This window comes from Homo sapiens, chromosome 3 (assembly GCF_000001405.40).
Source record: "Homo sapiens chromosome 3, GRCh38.p14 Primary Assembly".
Classification (NCBI taxonomy): Eukaryota; Metazoa; Chordata; class Mammalia; order Primates; family Hominidae; genus Homo; species Homo sapiens.
The window spans coordinates 191,304,963-191,322,167 of NC_000003.12; the positions used below are offsets into that span (position 1 = coordinate 191,304,963).

The 17,205-nt window shown below is 42.7% G+C and overlaps 1 protein-coding gene across 4 annotated transcripts in view; it reads right to left on the reverse strand.

Annotated features, from left to right (window-relative positions):
- Positions 1-17,205, reverse strand: part of UTS2B (urotensin 2B) — a 79,015-nt gene that overhangs the window by 37,795 nt on the left and 24,015 nt on the right. The window contains exon 3 of one of the 4 annotated variants that reach the window (NM_198152.5): positions 11,074-11,477. The exons of the other annotated variants lie outside the window; for them this stretch is intronic. The gene's annotated coding sequence lies outside the window, so the exon portion shown is untranslated. The remainder of the gene's footprint in view (positions 1-11,073; positions 11,478-17,205) is intronic. 4 annotated transcript variants of the gene reach the window in all.

Below are 17,205 nucleotides of genomic sequence, written 5' to 3' on the forward strand. Positions count from 1 at the left end.
ATGATCTCCAGCTCCATCCATGTCCCTGCGAAGGACATGATCTTGTTCTTTTTCATGGCTGCAGAGTATACCATGGTATATATGTACATTTTATCCAGTCTATTATTGATGGGCATTTAGGTTGATTCCATGTCTTTGCTACTGTGAATACTGCTGCAATAAACATATGCATGCATGTGTCTATATAACAGAATGATTTATATGTTTTTGGGTATATACCTAGTAATGGGATTGCTGGGTCAAATGGTATTTTGTCTTTAGGTCTGTGAGGAATCGCCACACTGTCTTCCACAATGGTTGAACTAATGTACACTCCCACCAACAGTGTATAAGTGTTCCTTTTTCTCCAGAACATCACCAGCATCTATTATTTTTTGACATTTTAATAATAGCCATTCTGACTGGCATGAGATGGTATCTCATTGTAGTTTTGATTTTCATTTCTCTAATGATCAGTGATGTTGAGCTTCTTTGCATATAATTCTTGGCCACATGCATGTCTTCTTTGAGAAGTGTCTATTCAGGTCCTTTGCTCATTTTTTTAATGGGGTTGTTTTCTTGTAAATTTGTTTAAATTCCTTATAGATGCTGGATATTAGACCTTTGTCAAATGCATAGTTTGCAAAAATTTTTCTCCCATTATGTAGGTTATTTACTCTGTTGATAGTTTCTTTTGTTGTGCTGTGCAGAAGCTTCTTAGTTTAATTAGATCCCATTTGTCAATTTTTTCTTTTGTTGCAGTTGCTTTTGGTGTCTTTGTCATCAAACCTTTGCCCATGCCTATGTCCTGAATGGTATTGCCTAGGTTGTCTTTCAGGGTTTTTATAGTTTTGAGTTTTCCATTTATATCTTTAATCCATCTTGAGTTAATTTTTGTGTACGCAGTAAGGAAGGGCCCAGTTTCAATTTTCTGCATACGGCTAGTCAGTTATTCCAGCACCATTTATTAAATAAGACTTTTTTCCCCGTTGCTTTTTTTTGGGGGGTCAGGTTTGTCAAAGATCAGATAGTTGTAGGTGTGCAGTCTAATTTCTATGTTCTCTATTCTGTTCCATTGGTCTATGTGTCTGTTCTTGTACCACTACCATGCTGTTTTGATTACTGTTGCCCTGTGGTACAGTTTGAAGTCGCTGAGTGTGATGCCTCCAGCTTTGTTCTTTTTGCTTAGGATTGCTGTGGCTATTCGGGCTCTTTTCTGCTTCCATGTGAATTTTAAAATAGTTTTCTCTAGTGCTGTGAAGAATGTCAATGGTAGTTTAATGGAAATAGTATTGAATGTATACATTGGTTTTTCTTTTCCCTCACCATTTAAGATAAAGGAAGACTACATTGCTTCAAAGACATAAAAAGCACAAGTTAACTTCAGAGATATATTTAACTGGCTCACTGATTTCATCATTTATAATTAGGTATAATGAGGATTGAACCCTACCACATTTTATAATTTTCAAATAATCCATCATCTATTTTATAGTTTATATTTATCATTTTAATCCCTCCTTCCCAAAATGACATACAATAGCAACCAGATTTCATTTTACTTTCAAAAATTGCCTAATACAGCACAGAGACATTTATAATGGTTCAGAAGACCTGCCTTGGAGTTCTTAAGCTGCTCTAACACTAAGTAGTTTACTATATTAAGGAGAGGAATGGTAACTAGGGGAAATTTTGTTTTGTTTTGTTTTGTTTGAGACGGAGTCTCTTGTCACCCAGGCTGGAGTGCAATGGCAAGATCTTGACTCACTACAAACTCCGCCTCCCGGGCTCAAGCAATTCTCCTGCCTCAGCCTCCTGAATAGCTGGGGTTTCAGACGCACACCACCATACCAGCTAATTTTTGTATTTTAGTAGAGACAGAGTTTCACCGTGTTGGCCAGGCGGGTCTTGAACTCCTGACCTCAAGTGATCCGCCTGCCTCAGCCTCCCAAAGTGCTGGGATTATAGGCGTGATCCACTGCACCCAGCCAGGAGGGGAAATTTTAATGTTTGGGCTTGCTACAGATTTTCTCATTAACTAACCCCTTCCAAAACCTTGGTTCACCTCTGGCAGCGCATGAAAGGTGGGTTACTTACAGGAATGAGAGTACAGCCCATGTAATTAAACAAAAGAAAGGTTCATAGGCAATATGTGAAGAGAAAGAAACAGCAATATTCACTCCCCAGTTTATTAATGAATGCCTAGACAGGCTCTGAGTTACTTTATGTATGCAGAGCTCTGTTCCTAGCACTCTGTGTGAATATAGAATCATAGATCCTTGGAAACTGAATGTACCTTGAATCCTTAGCTTGACATTAAAGATTCTCCATGACCCAGACTCAATCCGTCTATACATCTCCTCACCAACTGAATTTCCCTGTGACCTTCCTATTCTAGTACAAGGCATCTTAGCTTGAGACCTTTAGAAAAAAAAAACCTAAGGCAAAATTATATGCTATTGCTTTATTGAAAGGCACAAAGAAGCATAAGAGGAAAACGAAAAGTGGAGCATGGACAAAGGAAAAGCAAATACAACATCATGTGTTTCTGTGTTGGCTGCAGTCTCATGTATAAACAGTCGATTGCCGAGTCCTGCAGGATAAATTTGGACTGGCTATAAGAGATCAGTTCATGATGGGTAGGACGTTCAGAGGATTCTCTCTGGCTTCCATCTCATGTTTTGTAACTGACTAGTCTACCTCATGGAGTGTTAACTTTCCTGCACTTTCAGCCTGTGTTATTCTCCTCCCTGCTCTAGGCATCCAGCAGGGAATCTGGAATCTCCTCAAGTTTGTTCTACCAATACACCATTGCAGTGGTCTCTCTTCTTTGTCAGTCAGCACCTTATGTAGGTGCTTTTTCTTTTTTCTTTTCTTTTCTTTTCGTTTTCTTCTCTTTTTTTTTTTTTTTTGAGTCAGAGTCTCGCTCCGTTGCCCAGGCTGGAGTGTAGTGGCACAATCTCAGCTCACCACAACCTCTGCCTCCCGGGTTAAAGCAATTCTCCTGCCTCAGTCTCCCAAGTAGCTGGGACTTTAGGCACACTCCACCATGTCCGGCTAACTTTTGTATTTTTAGTAAGGGCGGGGTTTCACTAAGGTGGCCAGGCTGGTCTCAAACTCCTGACCTCGTGATCTGCCCACCTTGGCCTCCCAAAGTGCTGGGATTACAGGCATCAGCCACCACGATGTAGGGACTTTTTCCTTTCTGTTAGTGGAAAACGCAGAAATAGTTGGGCCTTTATCACAATGAGAATGGCGAGAGCTATCGCTAGAACTTCAGTGGCTTGGAATCCAGGCACCTGGTAGGGCTAGGAATAAAGGAAGAGCTAAGCCACATGAATACGTCCTAAGTGGCAGGGTGGCTTTCACTGCACTTTGGATCTACTACAGAACCTTCTCTTGTACGGGAGCCACATTCAAAACAAGCAGCCTTTAAGTCACTCAGTTAGTCAAAGTAGTATTACCAGTTGCTGTATTACCTCAAAAATTCAAAGGGGTTCACATGCACTATATCTCTTTTTGTTGTTTAGAGGTTTCAAGATGGAGCATCACATTTATTATTTTAAGGCAAAGTTTCTCAATCTTGCAATTATTGAGATTTGGGGTTGGGTAATTCTTTATTGCGAGGGGGTTGTCTTGTGCATTGTCTGATGTTTTGTTGTTCCCCTGGCCTCTATCCATTTGATGTCATCCCCCTTCTGTGATTTCTGACAGCCAAAAATGTCTCCAGACATTTCCAAATTTCTCTTTAGGACAAAATCATCCTTGGCTGAGAACCATTGCTTTAGATGGAATGACTCAATATGCCCAAGGCCATTATCCCTGAAGCTTTATGGGGTTTATTTCCACTTTCTGCTCTATATGTATCTTACTAGGATATTGAGGATACTTGCTACCTCTTAGTTATGAGACAAATCAGAATGATCTTATCTGTAGAGTGGACCAGTATGATATTCAACAGAATGTAAAAACGATAAATGGTCAAGATAATTGAGGACTGTATTACAAAAGAGACTAGGACCATTAACATAGTCATGTAAAAGCACACTATATTTGATCCTCTATCCTAAAGGGATCACTATTTTAATAATAGCATACCAAATGCCAGTAGGTGGGTTAATGTGCTTCAGTAACAATAACACATTTGCTAATGAAAGTCAATTCTGAATGGGTGTCCAGTGTTTCTGCATCTCTCTTGTGGGCACAGGGACTGGCTTTCTTGTTTTGTTTGTTTTTTTTTAAAACGGAGTCTCGCTCTCGCCCAGGCTGGAGTGCAGTGGTGCCATCTCGGCTCACTGCAAGCTCCGCCTCCCTGATTCACGCCATTCTCCTGCCTCAGCCTCCCAGGTAGCTGGGACTACAGGCGCCTACCACCACGCCTGGCTAAGTTTTTGGTTTTTCTTTTTTTTTTTCAGTAGAGATGAGGTTTCACCGTGTTAGCCAGGACGGTCTCGATCTCCTGACCTCGTGATCTGCCCGCCTCAGCCTCCCAAAGTGCTGGGATTACAGGCGTGAGCCACCTCGCCTGGCCTCTTTGTTTTAGACTATGTTTTCAATTTAATATTTTCAAGTTTCTGTTTGTATTGCAAACAGCCTTGGAAGACTGATATGGTTTGGATCTGTCTCCCCACCAAATCTCATGTCTAATTGTAATCCCCATTGTTGGAGGTGGGGTCTGGTGGGAGGTAATTGGATCACAGGGGCAGAGTTCTCATGAATGGATTAGTACCAACCCCTCGATGCTGTTTTGGTAATAGCGCGTGAGTCAGTTATTGTGAGATCTGGTAATACGAAAGCATGTAGCACCTCCTCTTGCTCTCTCTTCCTCCTGCTCTAGCTGTATGAAATGCCTCGCTTCCTTTTGCCTTCCGCCATGATTATAAGTTCCCTGAGGCCTCTCCACAAGCTGATGCCACCATGCTTCCTGTTCATCCTGCAGAACCATGAGCCAATTAAACCTCTTTTCTTCATAAAATTATCCAGTCTTGAGAATTTTTTTTTTCTTTCTTTTTTCCTTTCTTTCTTTTTTTTCTTTCTTTGTGGCAGGGTCTCACTCTGTCACCCAGGCTGGAGCGCAGTGGCACGATCTCCACTCACTGCAACCTCTGCTTCCCAGGTTTAAGTGATTCTCCTGCCTCAGCCATCCCAGTAGCTGGGACTACAGGTGCGCACCACCATGCCTGGCTATTTTTTTTTGTATTTTTGGTAGAGATGGTGTTTCACCATGTTGACCAGACTGGTCTTGAACTCCTGAACTCATGTGATCCCCCCGCCTCAGCCTCCCAAAGTGCTGGGATTACAGGCGTAAGCCACCGCACCCAGCCAGGTATTTTTTTTTTTTTATAGCAATGTGAGAATGACCTAACACGAAGATAGAGATAACATCCCCTTTCAAAACAAATAGTAGGTTTCTTTACAGGCCAGAATAACAAAGATAATATTTCCCATCAAGGCAAAGGTCAAGCACACTTAATGCCCATTATAAAAGATTAATGATCCCTAAGCTTGAGATCCCTATCCTGTAACAAATCCTATTTAGTGTGCAGAAATCATTTGTCCCTTATACCAACTTTGGGCTATGTGAATTGACATTTGGGAAAATGCTGCCAATGTTGATGCTCTGGCCATTGCTATTTCTGTGAGTAATGAACTGTCATTTGTTTCTAACCCAAGAATCTCATGTTTTCTGCTAACGTCCATGAAATTGTGGCAAGCTAACTTATTTGCTTGCAAGTGGAATAAAATCTCAGACCCTTCATAGTTCTTGGCATCTGATATAGTAGCAATGATCAGAGTTATAATTTGGTTAAAGTTATAGTAGCTTACTGCTATCTACTATGATCCAACTCTTTTTTACAGAGATTGAACAGATGAATTGATCAAAAAAGTGCTGCTAACTTCCCTACATCTCTTAAATATTTGACAAGGGGGTCACTTCTCTTCAATTCCTTCGAAATATATTATTTATTTGTTATCTTTAGGGTCAAGACGTACAGTTTCAGAAGCTGCAACTGGCACTTTAAGTTGGCTTTTATTTCAAAGGTCAAAGAAGCAATTTAAAGGTTCTGCCAATATCTAAGTATGTCCATCTAGATTATACATATCTTGGCTAAGGAAATTAACTATAAAGTAGTCAATAGACACAGTGAACCCACTGAGCAACAGACTGGGATCAAAACTCCATTTAACACCTGTCCTCTATAAATGCCCTTCCTCACCAGGTGGCTCAGATGACATTTCAGGTTCCCTGATAGCAGTCAGTTCAGTCCTCACACCTAAGAGTCTTTTAATATCACCTAGGAAATGTTGCCTTGTCAAATGGTTACAGGTTTCTGTGGGAAAATTTGAAGAAAAATTATTCGATATACTTGCATGTATCTAGTTTCCCTTTCAATCAATAGGACCTAGGGCTGTGAACAGACTTACATATGAAAACTGAAAGGGCTGTGATTTTCCAAAGTGGCATTCAGAGCAGATTGATATCTCTTTCTCTCTCTCTCCACCTGTCTGTCATCCCTGGGAAATCCATGATCTATTGGGCATCACCATTGCTCTCTGATAGCCAAGGTTCTATGATTGACACTCCTGTATTTCTGCACGCTAACTCTGCACTTGTACCATTCCCATGGTACTATTCCAACGGCCTGTTCCATTCCAGAGGCCCACTTTCCTCATACTTTTTAGATAGCCTAGTTCTGTAGCAGCATCTTCCACTGATGAAGCAGCTACCACTGAGCTTCTCAATGATTTCAGTGCCTTCGTCACCTGTGCATTCATTAGTGCCTTAATGAGACAGTATCCTTTAGGCGTTAGGTGATATTTCTCAGCTGTGGCATAGTAAATCCATTCAAACATTTCCACTTCCCAGAGCCCTCTGAGAAATTCCAGTTATGTGGCATGAAAATTTTGACATCTTGGCCAAGTGCAGTGGCTCACGCCTGTAATCCCAGCACTTTGGGAGGCCAAGGCAGGTGGATCACCTCAGGTCAGGAGTTTGAGACCAGCCTGTCCAGCATAATGAAACCCATCTCTACTAAAAATACAAAAAAAAAGAAAAAAAATTAGCCAGGTGTGGTGGCGTGCACCTGTAATCTCAACTACTTGGGAGGCTTAGGCAACAGAATCACTTGAACCTGAGAGGTGGAGGTTGCAGCGAGCCGAGGTTGCGCCACTGCACTCCAGCGTGGGTGACAGAGCAAGATTCTGTCTCAAAAAAAAAAAAAAAAAGGCATCTCCACTTCATTTAGTGTAACCCTTCACCAACGCCAGGCTTCAAGAAATCATCACAGCAAATTATTGGGCTGTGCTTCCCTACTCAGGTTGTATTAAAATTTGATTCAGAGTATCAGCCCTGGAGGCGATGTGGAATGAGAGTCAAGGATCCTGAGGACACCAAAAGTCATATTGCAGGTCATCTGCTTTGAGTGAGGTTATTACATGGTCTTTATGTTGGGCTGTTTTCTTCTGGCAAGTGGACAGGACTGATTCTGCTGGCCGTGACAGCTCAAGGAATTTAGAAGTTCAGAATCCCCCAAAATCTTTATTCCTGGCCTCAGGGACCCATCAGTTTACTTTTTTTTTGCAGTTATTGCAACTTTGTAATTATAAATGCCCCTATACAAATCAATTGCAACAGCCACTTGACTTTCTAATGCCCTTCCTTCTACCCACACCTCATTCTTCTTAACCACAGGTGAAGTTTTTAATAATCGTGATTCATTACAGGCCAGTAATTTGCCATTTCACTTGACAACAGAAACGAAGTGAGTCCCTGTGACTTCCAGAACATGGCTGATCTAACCCCAAAACGTCATCTTGAGGATTGGCTTTTGAGGCCCCCTCCTCTCCTTGTATCAATTATATTTGCCTGGGGCTATAGAGAATAGGTGGCAAAACCTACAAAGTGCTAACACTTTACTGGGAGTTGTGAGGGCAGCTGGAGTAAAGAGAAAAGGATAACGAGGCACAGAAATGAAAATGAATACAAGGTGATATTTTCTTTGCAGGCCACATTTTTATGGGCAGTTCAAGGTCATAGGATAAGTGTACATTTAACATTAATAACTGTCAAACAGGTTTTTTTTTTTTTTTGAGACGGAGTCTCACTCTGTCAGGCTGGAGCGCAGTGGTGTGATCTCGGCCTCCCTGGTTCAAGCAATTCTCCTGCCTCAGCCTCCCAAGTAGCTGGGATTACAGGCACCTGTCACCAAGCCTGGCTAATTTTTGTTTTTTTAGTAGAGATGAGGTTTCACCATATTGGCCAGTCTGGTCTCCAACTCCTGACTACAAGTGATCCACCCACCTCGGCCTCCCAAAGTGCTGGGATTACAGATGTGAGCCACAGCACCCAGCTTAAACAATTTTTTAAAATGGTTGTAACATTTAACTCACAGTAATGTGTGAACTCTGGTTCCTTCCCTTTAAAGTTCAGCTCCATTTTGAGACTAACAAAGCACATTCCTTGCTGGTCAGGACCCAGATTCATGGGATGCTTATAGTAAAGGAAACAGCCTAATGATACCTGCAAGAACACACTCCTACAATAACAAAGTCCAGGTGTCCCAATACCCATAACGATATATGTTTGTGAGATAATAACAGTTATGCTTTGATGTACTCACACACCAGACTGTCAAAGCTAGTTCTCTTTAAGTCAATAGAGTAATAAATTTGTCATACTGTCTGCTCACCTGCACATAGACGCAGCTTAGTTTAGTTTTTACATAGACAAGACCCCTATATATGAAAAACTTAAAACTAAGACAATGCATTCCTCCACTTTCCTTTTTTTTTTTTTTTTTTTTTTTGAGATGAGGTCTCACTCTGTCGCCCAGGCTAGAGTGCAGTGGCACCATCTCGGCTTACTGCAACCTCTGCCTCCCAGGTTCAAGTGATTCTCCTTCCTCCACCTCCTGAGTAGCTGAGCTCACTGGCGCCTGCCACCATGCCCAACTAATTTTTGTATTTTTAGTAGAGACAGGGTTTCACCATGCTGGCGAGGCTGGTCTTAGACTCCTGACTTTAGGTGATCCACCCACCTCGACCTCCCAAAGTGCTGGGATTACAGGCATGAGCCACCGCACCAGGCCCCTCCACTTGTTTTCTGAGGAAACCCTTCTCTGTAATGGAGTAGCTTTTAATAAACTTGCTTTTTCCACTGCACTTCGTGACTCATCTTGAATTCCCTTCTGCACGAGTTTCAAGAACTCTCTCTGGGGTCTGGTTCAAGGCCCGTATTTCCAGTGACAATTCATTCCCTACTCTGTAGATGCTACTTTCTGTTAAGCCTCATGGAGTTTCACGTTACATATATGCAGTACAGGCTTTGACCAAAGACTTGGGAGCCCCTGTGTGCAGCTCTGTCCTCTTCAGTACCCTACTCCACAAGTTCCAATTGGGTCAGCAGTCGTGCATTCTATTCTTTGCCTTCCCAGAGAGACCCTTCTTGGACTCTACTTTCCTCATAAAAGTTGGGAAATAGGCCCCAAGTACAAAGTTGGCAAGAGTATGAGAGGCTAAATTTCATGTGTTACTCTTCTCTCATGGGTCATTGTGATATTGTGAAACATATATTTGGTCTTTGACCCTGTTTCCTGGCATACAACCAAAATCTTTAGACTGTTTTGTATGCTAATGATTGACTAATGACAAGCAGCCCCTATGTAGCTTTGAGGAGTGTAAGCGCAAGTGCAAGGGTGGGGCTGGTAATCAGAAAAAAACAAGTCATGGTTACAGGGTTGATATTTTCAGGCCCACTCCACAACCTCCAGAGATGGGGAAGGGACTGAAGGTTAAGCTGATCACCAATGGCCAATGATTTAATCAATCATGCCTACATAATGAGGCTTCCATTGAAACCCAAAGGAGTGGGTTCAGAGAGCTTCTGGATAGCTGACACGTGGAGGTTTCTGGAGGATGGGGCTCCCAGGGAGGGCATGGAAATTTTGTTCCCCTTCTCACTTGCCTTGCCCTACGCATCTCATCTCTTCACCTACATCCTTTGTAATATCCTTTATGATAAACTAGTAAGTGTAAGTTAGTGTTTCCCTGAGTTCTGCGTGCCACCCTAGAATTTTTTTTTTTTTTTTGAGATGGAGTTTCACTGTTTCGTCCAGGCTGGAGTGCAATGGCACAATCTTGGCTCACTGCAACCTCTGCCCCACTGGGTTCAAGTGATTCTCCTGCCTCAGCCTCCCGAGTAGCTAGGATTATAGGCGCCTGCCACCATGCCCAGACAATTTTTGTATTTTTAGTAGAGATGGGGTTTCACCATTTTGGCCAGGCTGGTCTCGAACTCCTGACCTCAGGTGATCTGCTCGCCTCAGCTTCCCAAAGTGCTGGGATTACAGGCATGAGCCACCACGCCCGGCCTACTCTACAAAATTAATCAAACCCAAGGAGGGGGTTCTGTGACCCCTGATTTACACCTGGTCGCTCAGAAGCACAGGTAGAACAACTTGGGACCTGTGGTTGGCATAGGAAGTGAAGGGCAGTCTTGGATACTGAGCCCTAAGCTGCTGGATCTGATACCACCTCCAGGTAGATAGTGTCGGAATTGGATTGGAGTTCACCCAGCTGGTGTCTGCTACAGAACTAATTGTTGCATGATGTATAAAGAAATCCCTTCACACATTTGGTGATGGAAGTCTTCTGTGTTGATGATTGTTATTGTGGTGTGAGGGCGGAGGAAAAACAGTTTGTGTTTTTTCCACTGCCAGAGTCATGCTACCTATTGCCTAGTGCTTCAGAACATTCGTCTCATGTTTTCTCTAGCTTTTTCGTCATTTTTGGAGAAGAAATTGTTTAGAACCATTTATTCCTTCTTGGGCAAAAGTTCAAGTCTAAATATGTTTTTAAATTTTATTAGTTATGCAGTATTTCCTATGAAAAATTAAATAATCACCAATGCACCACACTCAGATTCAAGGTAAACATGCTGCCATATTTGTCTTTACATATATAATTGAAACATATTCTTTTGGTTATCTATTGCTGCATAATACAGCATGCTACAGCTTCTTAGCTTTATACAGTAGCATGTGTTTATTTATTCAAATTTCTGCAAATTGGGTAAGGTCAGAGAGCTCTTCTTACCTGTGTCACAGGTGGCTTCTCTTGACATAGCTCAAGTGGGTTTTGAAGATCAGTTTCCAAAGTGGTTGGCAATCAGCTAGATGTCAGCTGTCAGCTGGGAGCTCCATTATGTTGGCTGGGGTGTTTGTTTTCTTCCACATAGCCTTTCCATATAGCCAGTTTCCAACAGCATATTAGTGTGCCGGAATTGGTGGGTTCTTGGTCTCACAGACTTAAAGAATGAAGCCGCAGATCCTCGCAGTGAGTGTTACAGTTCTTAAAGATGGTGCGTCCGGAATTTGTTCATTTCTCCCGGTAGGTTCGTGGTCTCTCTGGTTTCAAGAGTGAAGCTGCAGACCTTCGCGGTGAGTGCTACAGCTCTTATGGGCAGTGCAGACCCAAAGAGTGAGCAGCAGCAAGATTTACTGCAAAGAGCGAAAAAATAGATCTCCCACAGTGTGAAAGTCACTCCAGCGGATTGCTGCTGCTAGCTCAGCAGCCTGCTTTTATTCCCTTATCTGACCCCACCTACATCCTGCTGATCGGTACATTTTACAGAGAGCTGATTGGTCCGTTTTACAAAGAGCGGATTGGTCCATTTTGACAGGGTACCGATTCGTGTGTTTACAATCCCTGAGCTAGACACAGAGTGCTGGTTGGTGCATTTACAATCCTCTAGCTAGCCATAAAAGTTCTCCAAGTCCCCACTTGATTAGCTAGACACAGAGCACTGATCGGTGCTTTTACAAACCTTGAGCTAGACATAGGGTGATGATTGGTGCATTTACAAACCTTGAGCTAGACACAGGGTGCTGATTGGTGCATCCACAAACCCCCAGCTAGACACTGAGTGCTGATTGGCGCATATACAATCCTCCAGCTAGACATAAAAGTTCTCCAAGTCCCCACCCGACTCAGGAGCCCAGCTGGCTTAGCCTAGCGGATCCCACGCCGGGGCTGCCGGCGGAGCCTCCCGTTAGTCCCGCACTGCGTGCCTGCACTCCTCATCCCTTGGGCGGTCAATGGGACGTGGCGCCTTGGAGCAGGGGGTGGTGCCCGTCAGGGAGGCTCGGGCCGTGCAGAGCCCATGGGGGTGGGGGCTCGGGCATAGCGGGCTGCAGTACCCCAGCCCTGCCCCGCGGGGAGGCGGCTGAGGCCTGGAAAGAGTTCCAGTGCGGCGCTCAGTGCTGGGGGACCTGGTGCACTCTCCTCAGCTGCTGGCCCGGGTGCTAAGCCCCTCACTGCCTGGGGCCGGGGGCACCAGCCAGCTTCTCTGAGTGCGGGGGGGCCTCCCAAGCCTGTACCCACCTGGAACTCGTGCTAGCCCGCAAGCAGCACGCGCAGCCCTGGTTCCCGTCTGCACCTCTCCCTCCACACCTCCCTGCAAGCAGAGGGAGCTGGCTCCGGCCTTGGCCAGCCCACAGAGGGGCTCCCACAGTGCAGCTGCGGGCGAAGGGCTCCTCAAGTGTGGCCAGAGTGGATGCCAAGGCCGAGGAGGCGCTGAGAGCGAGCGACGGCTGCTAGCACGTTGTCACCTCTCATTAGGATAGTCTTTGTTGTTGTTGTTGTTGTTGTTGTTGTTGAGTTGGAGTTTCCCTCTGTCGCCCAGGCTGAAGTGCAGTGGCACCATCTTGGCTCACTGCAACCTCTGCCTCCCTGGTTAATGCGATTCTCCTTACTCAGCCTCCCGAGAAGCTGGGCCTACAGGCATGCACCACTACGCCCAACTAATTTTTTGTATTTTTAGTAGAGACGGTGTTTCAGCATGTTGGCCAGACTGGTCTCGAACTCCTGACCTCAGGCAATCTGCTCAGCTCACCTTCCCAAAGTACTGGGATTACAGGCATGAGCCATCGCACCCGGCCAGGTTTTTTTATTTTTATTTTTTTTAACAAGACAACTGACTTCCTTAAGAGCATGAAAACAGAAGTTGCCTGGCCTTCTTATGTCAAGGCTTATAAGTCTCAGAATGTCACTTCTACTGCATTTTATTGGTTAATTAGTTACAGGTCCAGCCCAGGTTCAACAGGAGGGGAAATTGATTCCACATTTTGATGGAGGGTTATAATGTCGTACTGCAGGAGGGCATGTGCGATGAGAAGCAATGTTGTGGTCATTTTTAAAGCAATAATCTGTGACATGCATTTTCCTACATTCTGTTTTCCTTTTCTCCATTCTCAGAGGTAGCTACTGTAATCAATGTCTATATTTCCCATTCATATTTGTATAGTTTCACCAGACTTCTCTCTAGCACTGAATACTCTTCATACTTTAAGCATTTTCCACATAGGGCAAAACAAAATCTTGAGGAAATCTCATAAATCTGAGGTCACAAGAAAAGTAGCCTGTAGAAAAGGAATTTCCTAAACTATAGGCCTCCTGCAGAAAAGTTGACTGAATGGTTCATCCTTTAAATTGGGTTGCAATGTTTCCAGCTTGAAGATCTTCTTTTATGTTTTATTTTTTATTTTTGAGACGCAATCTCACTCTGTCACCCAGGCTGGAGTACAGTGGCACAATCTCAGCTCACTGCAACCTCCACCTCTCCAGGCTCAAGTGATGCTCCCACCTCAGCCTCCTGAGTAGCTGGAACCACGGGTGCACACCACCATGTCCGGCTAATTTTTAATATTTTTGGTAGAGATGGGGTTTCACAATGTTGCCCAGGCTGGTCTGGAACTCCTGAGTTCGAGCAATCCACCCACCTTGGCCTCCCAAAGTGTTGGGATGACAGGTGTGAGCTGCTGTGCCTGGCTGAAGATCTTTTAATTAAGATTTCCCTCCATACATAGTTGTTTTTTGTTTTTGTTTTTGTTTTTTGTAACCTTGGGTTGAAAAAATAGATAATTGCAAATCACATGATCTTAGTAATATTTGTAAATTTTATATGTATTAATCACAGCTGCACTTGTATTCATTTAAAAATTCAAAATATGCTTTATGAAAAACTTTTATTTTATATAGTCTGTAGATTATTTTTGAGGTACATATACATTTGTAGAAATTACCATAATAACTCTATCATACGAGATGTTTATAGCTAACAGGTTAGGAAACTTATGCCATAGCTGACACTTTGCTGAATTTTCCTCTGTATTAGCTCACAGTCCTCCTTGCATTAGCTCCTTGTACTAATCAGTACCTGTGCCAATATGTATACTATCCCTAGATATGCAAACTGCTATCATCCTACTCTAGTCCCTGCCAAGCTCTTGGCTGAGATTCCTTTGCCCTGGCTCCACGTTGACTCACTTTATCATTGTCTCTCGCCTACACCCTTGTGATAGCCATAGAAAATCTCTCACATGACAATAGGTATTGATAAGCTATTTCATATTTTACTTCTTTTTCTAACTGGACATTTATCTGTAATAAATAAATGGCTCGTAAACAAAAATTAGACTTCACAACATGTTGGTATAGCAAATGTCCCTCACGGCAAAGCAGGAGAAGATATCTGTTTCTTTTTAACTTAGTTGCTTCTCTAAATATTTTAAATTACACCTTCTGTCTATTAAGGTATAGGTTCTTTTTTTAAAAGTCCTTTCTTAAAAACTATTTTTGGCTGGGCATGGTGACTCTTATGTGTAATCCTAGCACTTTGGGAGGCTGAGACGGGTGGATCACGAGGTCAGGAGTTCAAGACCAGCCTGGCCAACGTGGTGAAACCCTGTCTCTGCTAAAAATACAAAAAAAAAAAAAAATTAGCCAGGTGTGGTGGCGGGTGCCTGTCATCCTAGCCACTTGGGAGGCTGAGGCAGGAGACGTGCTTGAACCTGGGAGGCGGAGGTTGCAGTGAGCCAAGATCGCGCCACTGCACACCAGCCCAGGCAACAGTGCGAGACTTGGTCTCAAAAAAAAAAAAAAGCCACTTTTTTTTTTTTTAAAAACCTTACTTTTTGGAAAATTATTATTTGGTCAGCATAGTCTAGATACACTTCAATTATTCTTTATCAAATGCTTTATCCAGCAATTTACTCAATACATATTTCATGAGCAGCAATTATATGTCAACACTATTCTATGTACTGACAATTACAGCATTAAATCACATAGACAAAGTTTCAGTCTTTGTGGTAGATTGGACAGACATATAATATTGGCAGGAATAACTGACCTGGAGATAAAAAAAAAGAGTGGGCAAGATATGGAATGACAGATTGGATTGCTATTTTAGATAAGATCAGGGAAAGTCACTAGGAGAAGGTGACATCTGAGCAGACACTTGAATAAAATTGGAGGAGTAAATCACACAGTTATTGGCATACAGGGTCTTTCTAGGAAGAGGGACCAGTTAAGTGAAAAGGCCCTGAAGCAAGACTATGCGTGGCTTATTCAAAGAACATCAAGTTGGTCAATATGAGGACAGGGCAGTGAGAAGGGAATGAGAGGAAGCCAGGAGGTGACTTTAGCAGATGATGCTAAGCACTTTAGACTGAATTCTGAGAAGATGAGATACCGTCCAAGGTTCATGTACAAATCAATGACATGCTCTGGCATGCTTTAAGGTATAAGTCACTCTGGCTTCTGTGTCAGTAAACTCCAGGGGAATAAGAGCAGAACCAAGAAACTGCGAAGGAGGCTACGGCCAAAACCCAAGTGAGAGATGATGAGGGTTTAGACCACGGTAGCAGCAGTCAGGAGATGAGATGTGGAATTTTTGTTGTATTTTAAAGCTTGAGTTGACTGAATCTGCTGAAGGATAAATGCAGGGTGTGAAAGAAAGACAGTAAAGAATAAATGACTGTAAAGTTTTTGATGTGACAACTGTGTAAGTACAGAGGTGAAGTAAATTGAAGAAATTATGACATCAGTTTTGATTATTCCTGAATAAGTGCTAATTAAATATTCAACTTAGTATGAAAAAGTAGTCAGTCAGTGCTGTGGTTTGAATGTGTCTCTCCAGAATACAGGTATCACCAACTGATAGTATTAAGAGGCAGGGCCTATAAGAGATGATTAGGTCTAAAGGGCTTCTCCCTGATTAATGGGATTAAGACTTACAAAATAAGCTTCATGCGACATTATTCCTCAATAAATCCTCCAGAGTAAGAATAGTTAGGAAGTAGAAGAAGTTTGAGAACTGGAGTATTGTCTGAATCAGAAACACTGTAGCATTTAAATGTTTGGAAAATGGGGGCAGAAACACTAAAGACTATGATAAGAAATGATGTAAGTGTGTGTGGGGAGGGGTGGGAGTGGTTAGTTTTTATGTACAGTACAGTGGCAGTCAGTTGCCTAGCTAGGAATTCAAACTGCAGGTATTGCAACCCAGATGATTATCAGAAGGCTATACTCTAAAGGAAGTTTTAGTAAGACCTTTTAACTATTTTTAAAATCTTAGATTAATAATAGGAACTCTAAAGCATCATTTAATGAATGCAAGAAATAGGTTTTCACTAGTAAAATTGTGGGTACTCAAAATATGTGGAGATATATGAATTGCCTGAAATATTTTAACACTCTTATTTGGACAAGGTTTATGCGCCAAAGGAGCTTTTCAGCCTTTACTTTTCGCAATGATTCCCAAGGCATGATTCCAAAATAATGTCTGTGTTTGCACAAATCTTTTATAGACTGTGTAGTCAGAACCCATAGAGGATAGGAAATTGGGACTCCAACATGTTTTCAAAACTGTCTTTATGACTTCTTTGTATCTATCTGCTAATAAATGTGTATGTGTACATACAAATATGTGTATATATGATATATAAAAATATATGTGACTAGGGCCAGGTGCGGTGGCTCATGCCTGTCATCCCTGCACTTTGGGAGGCCAAGGTGGGCAGATCACCTGAGGTCAAGAGTTGAAGACCAGCCTGGCCAACATGGTGAAACCCCTCCTCTACTAAAAATACAAAAATTAGCCAGGCGTGGTGGCGGGTGCCTGTAATCCCAGCTATTCGGGAGGCTGAGGCAGGAGAATTGCTTGAATCTGGGAGGCGGAGGTTGCAGTGAGCTAAGATTGCGCCATTGCACTCCAGCCTGGGTGACAAGAGAAAAACTCCATCGGAAAAATATATATACATATATATGTGTGTGTGTGTGTGTGACTATATGTATATGTACATAACATTCATTATGTATAATATATGAACATTCATATATAATGTATGAATTTGGTGTCAGATGTACTTTTTTTGTAACCTGGTA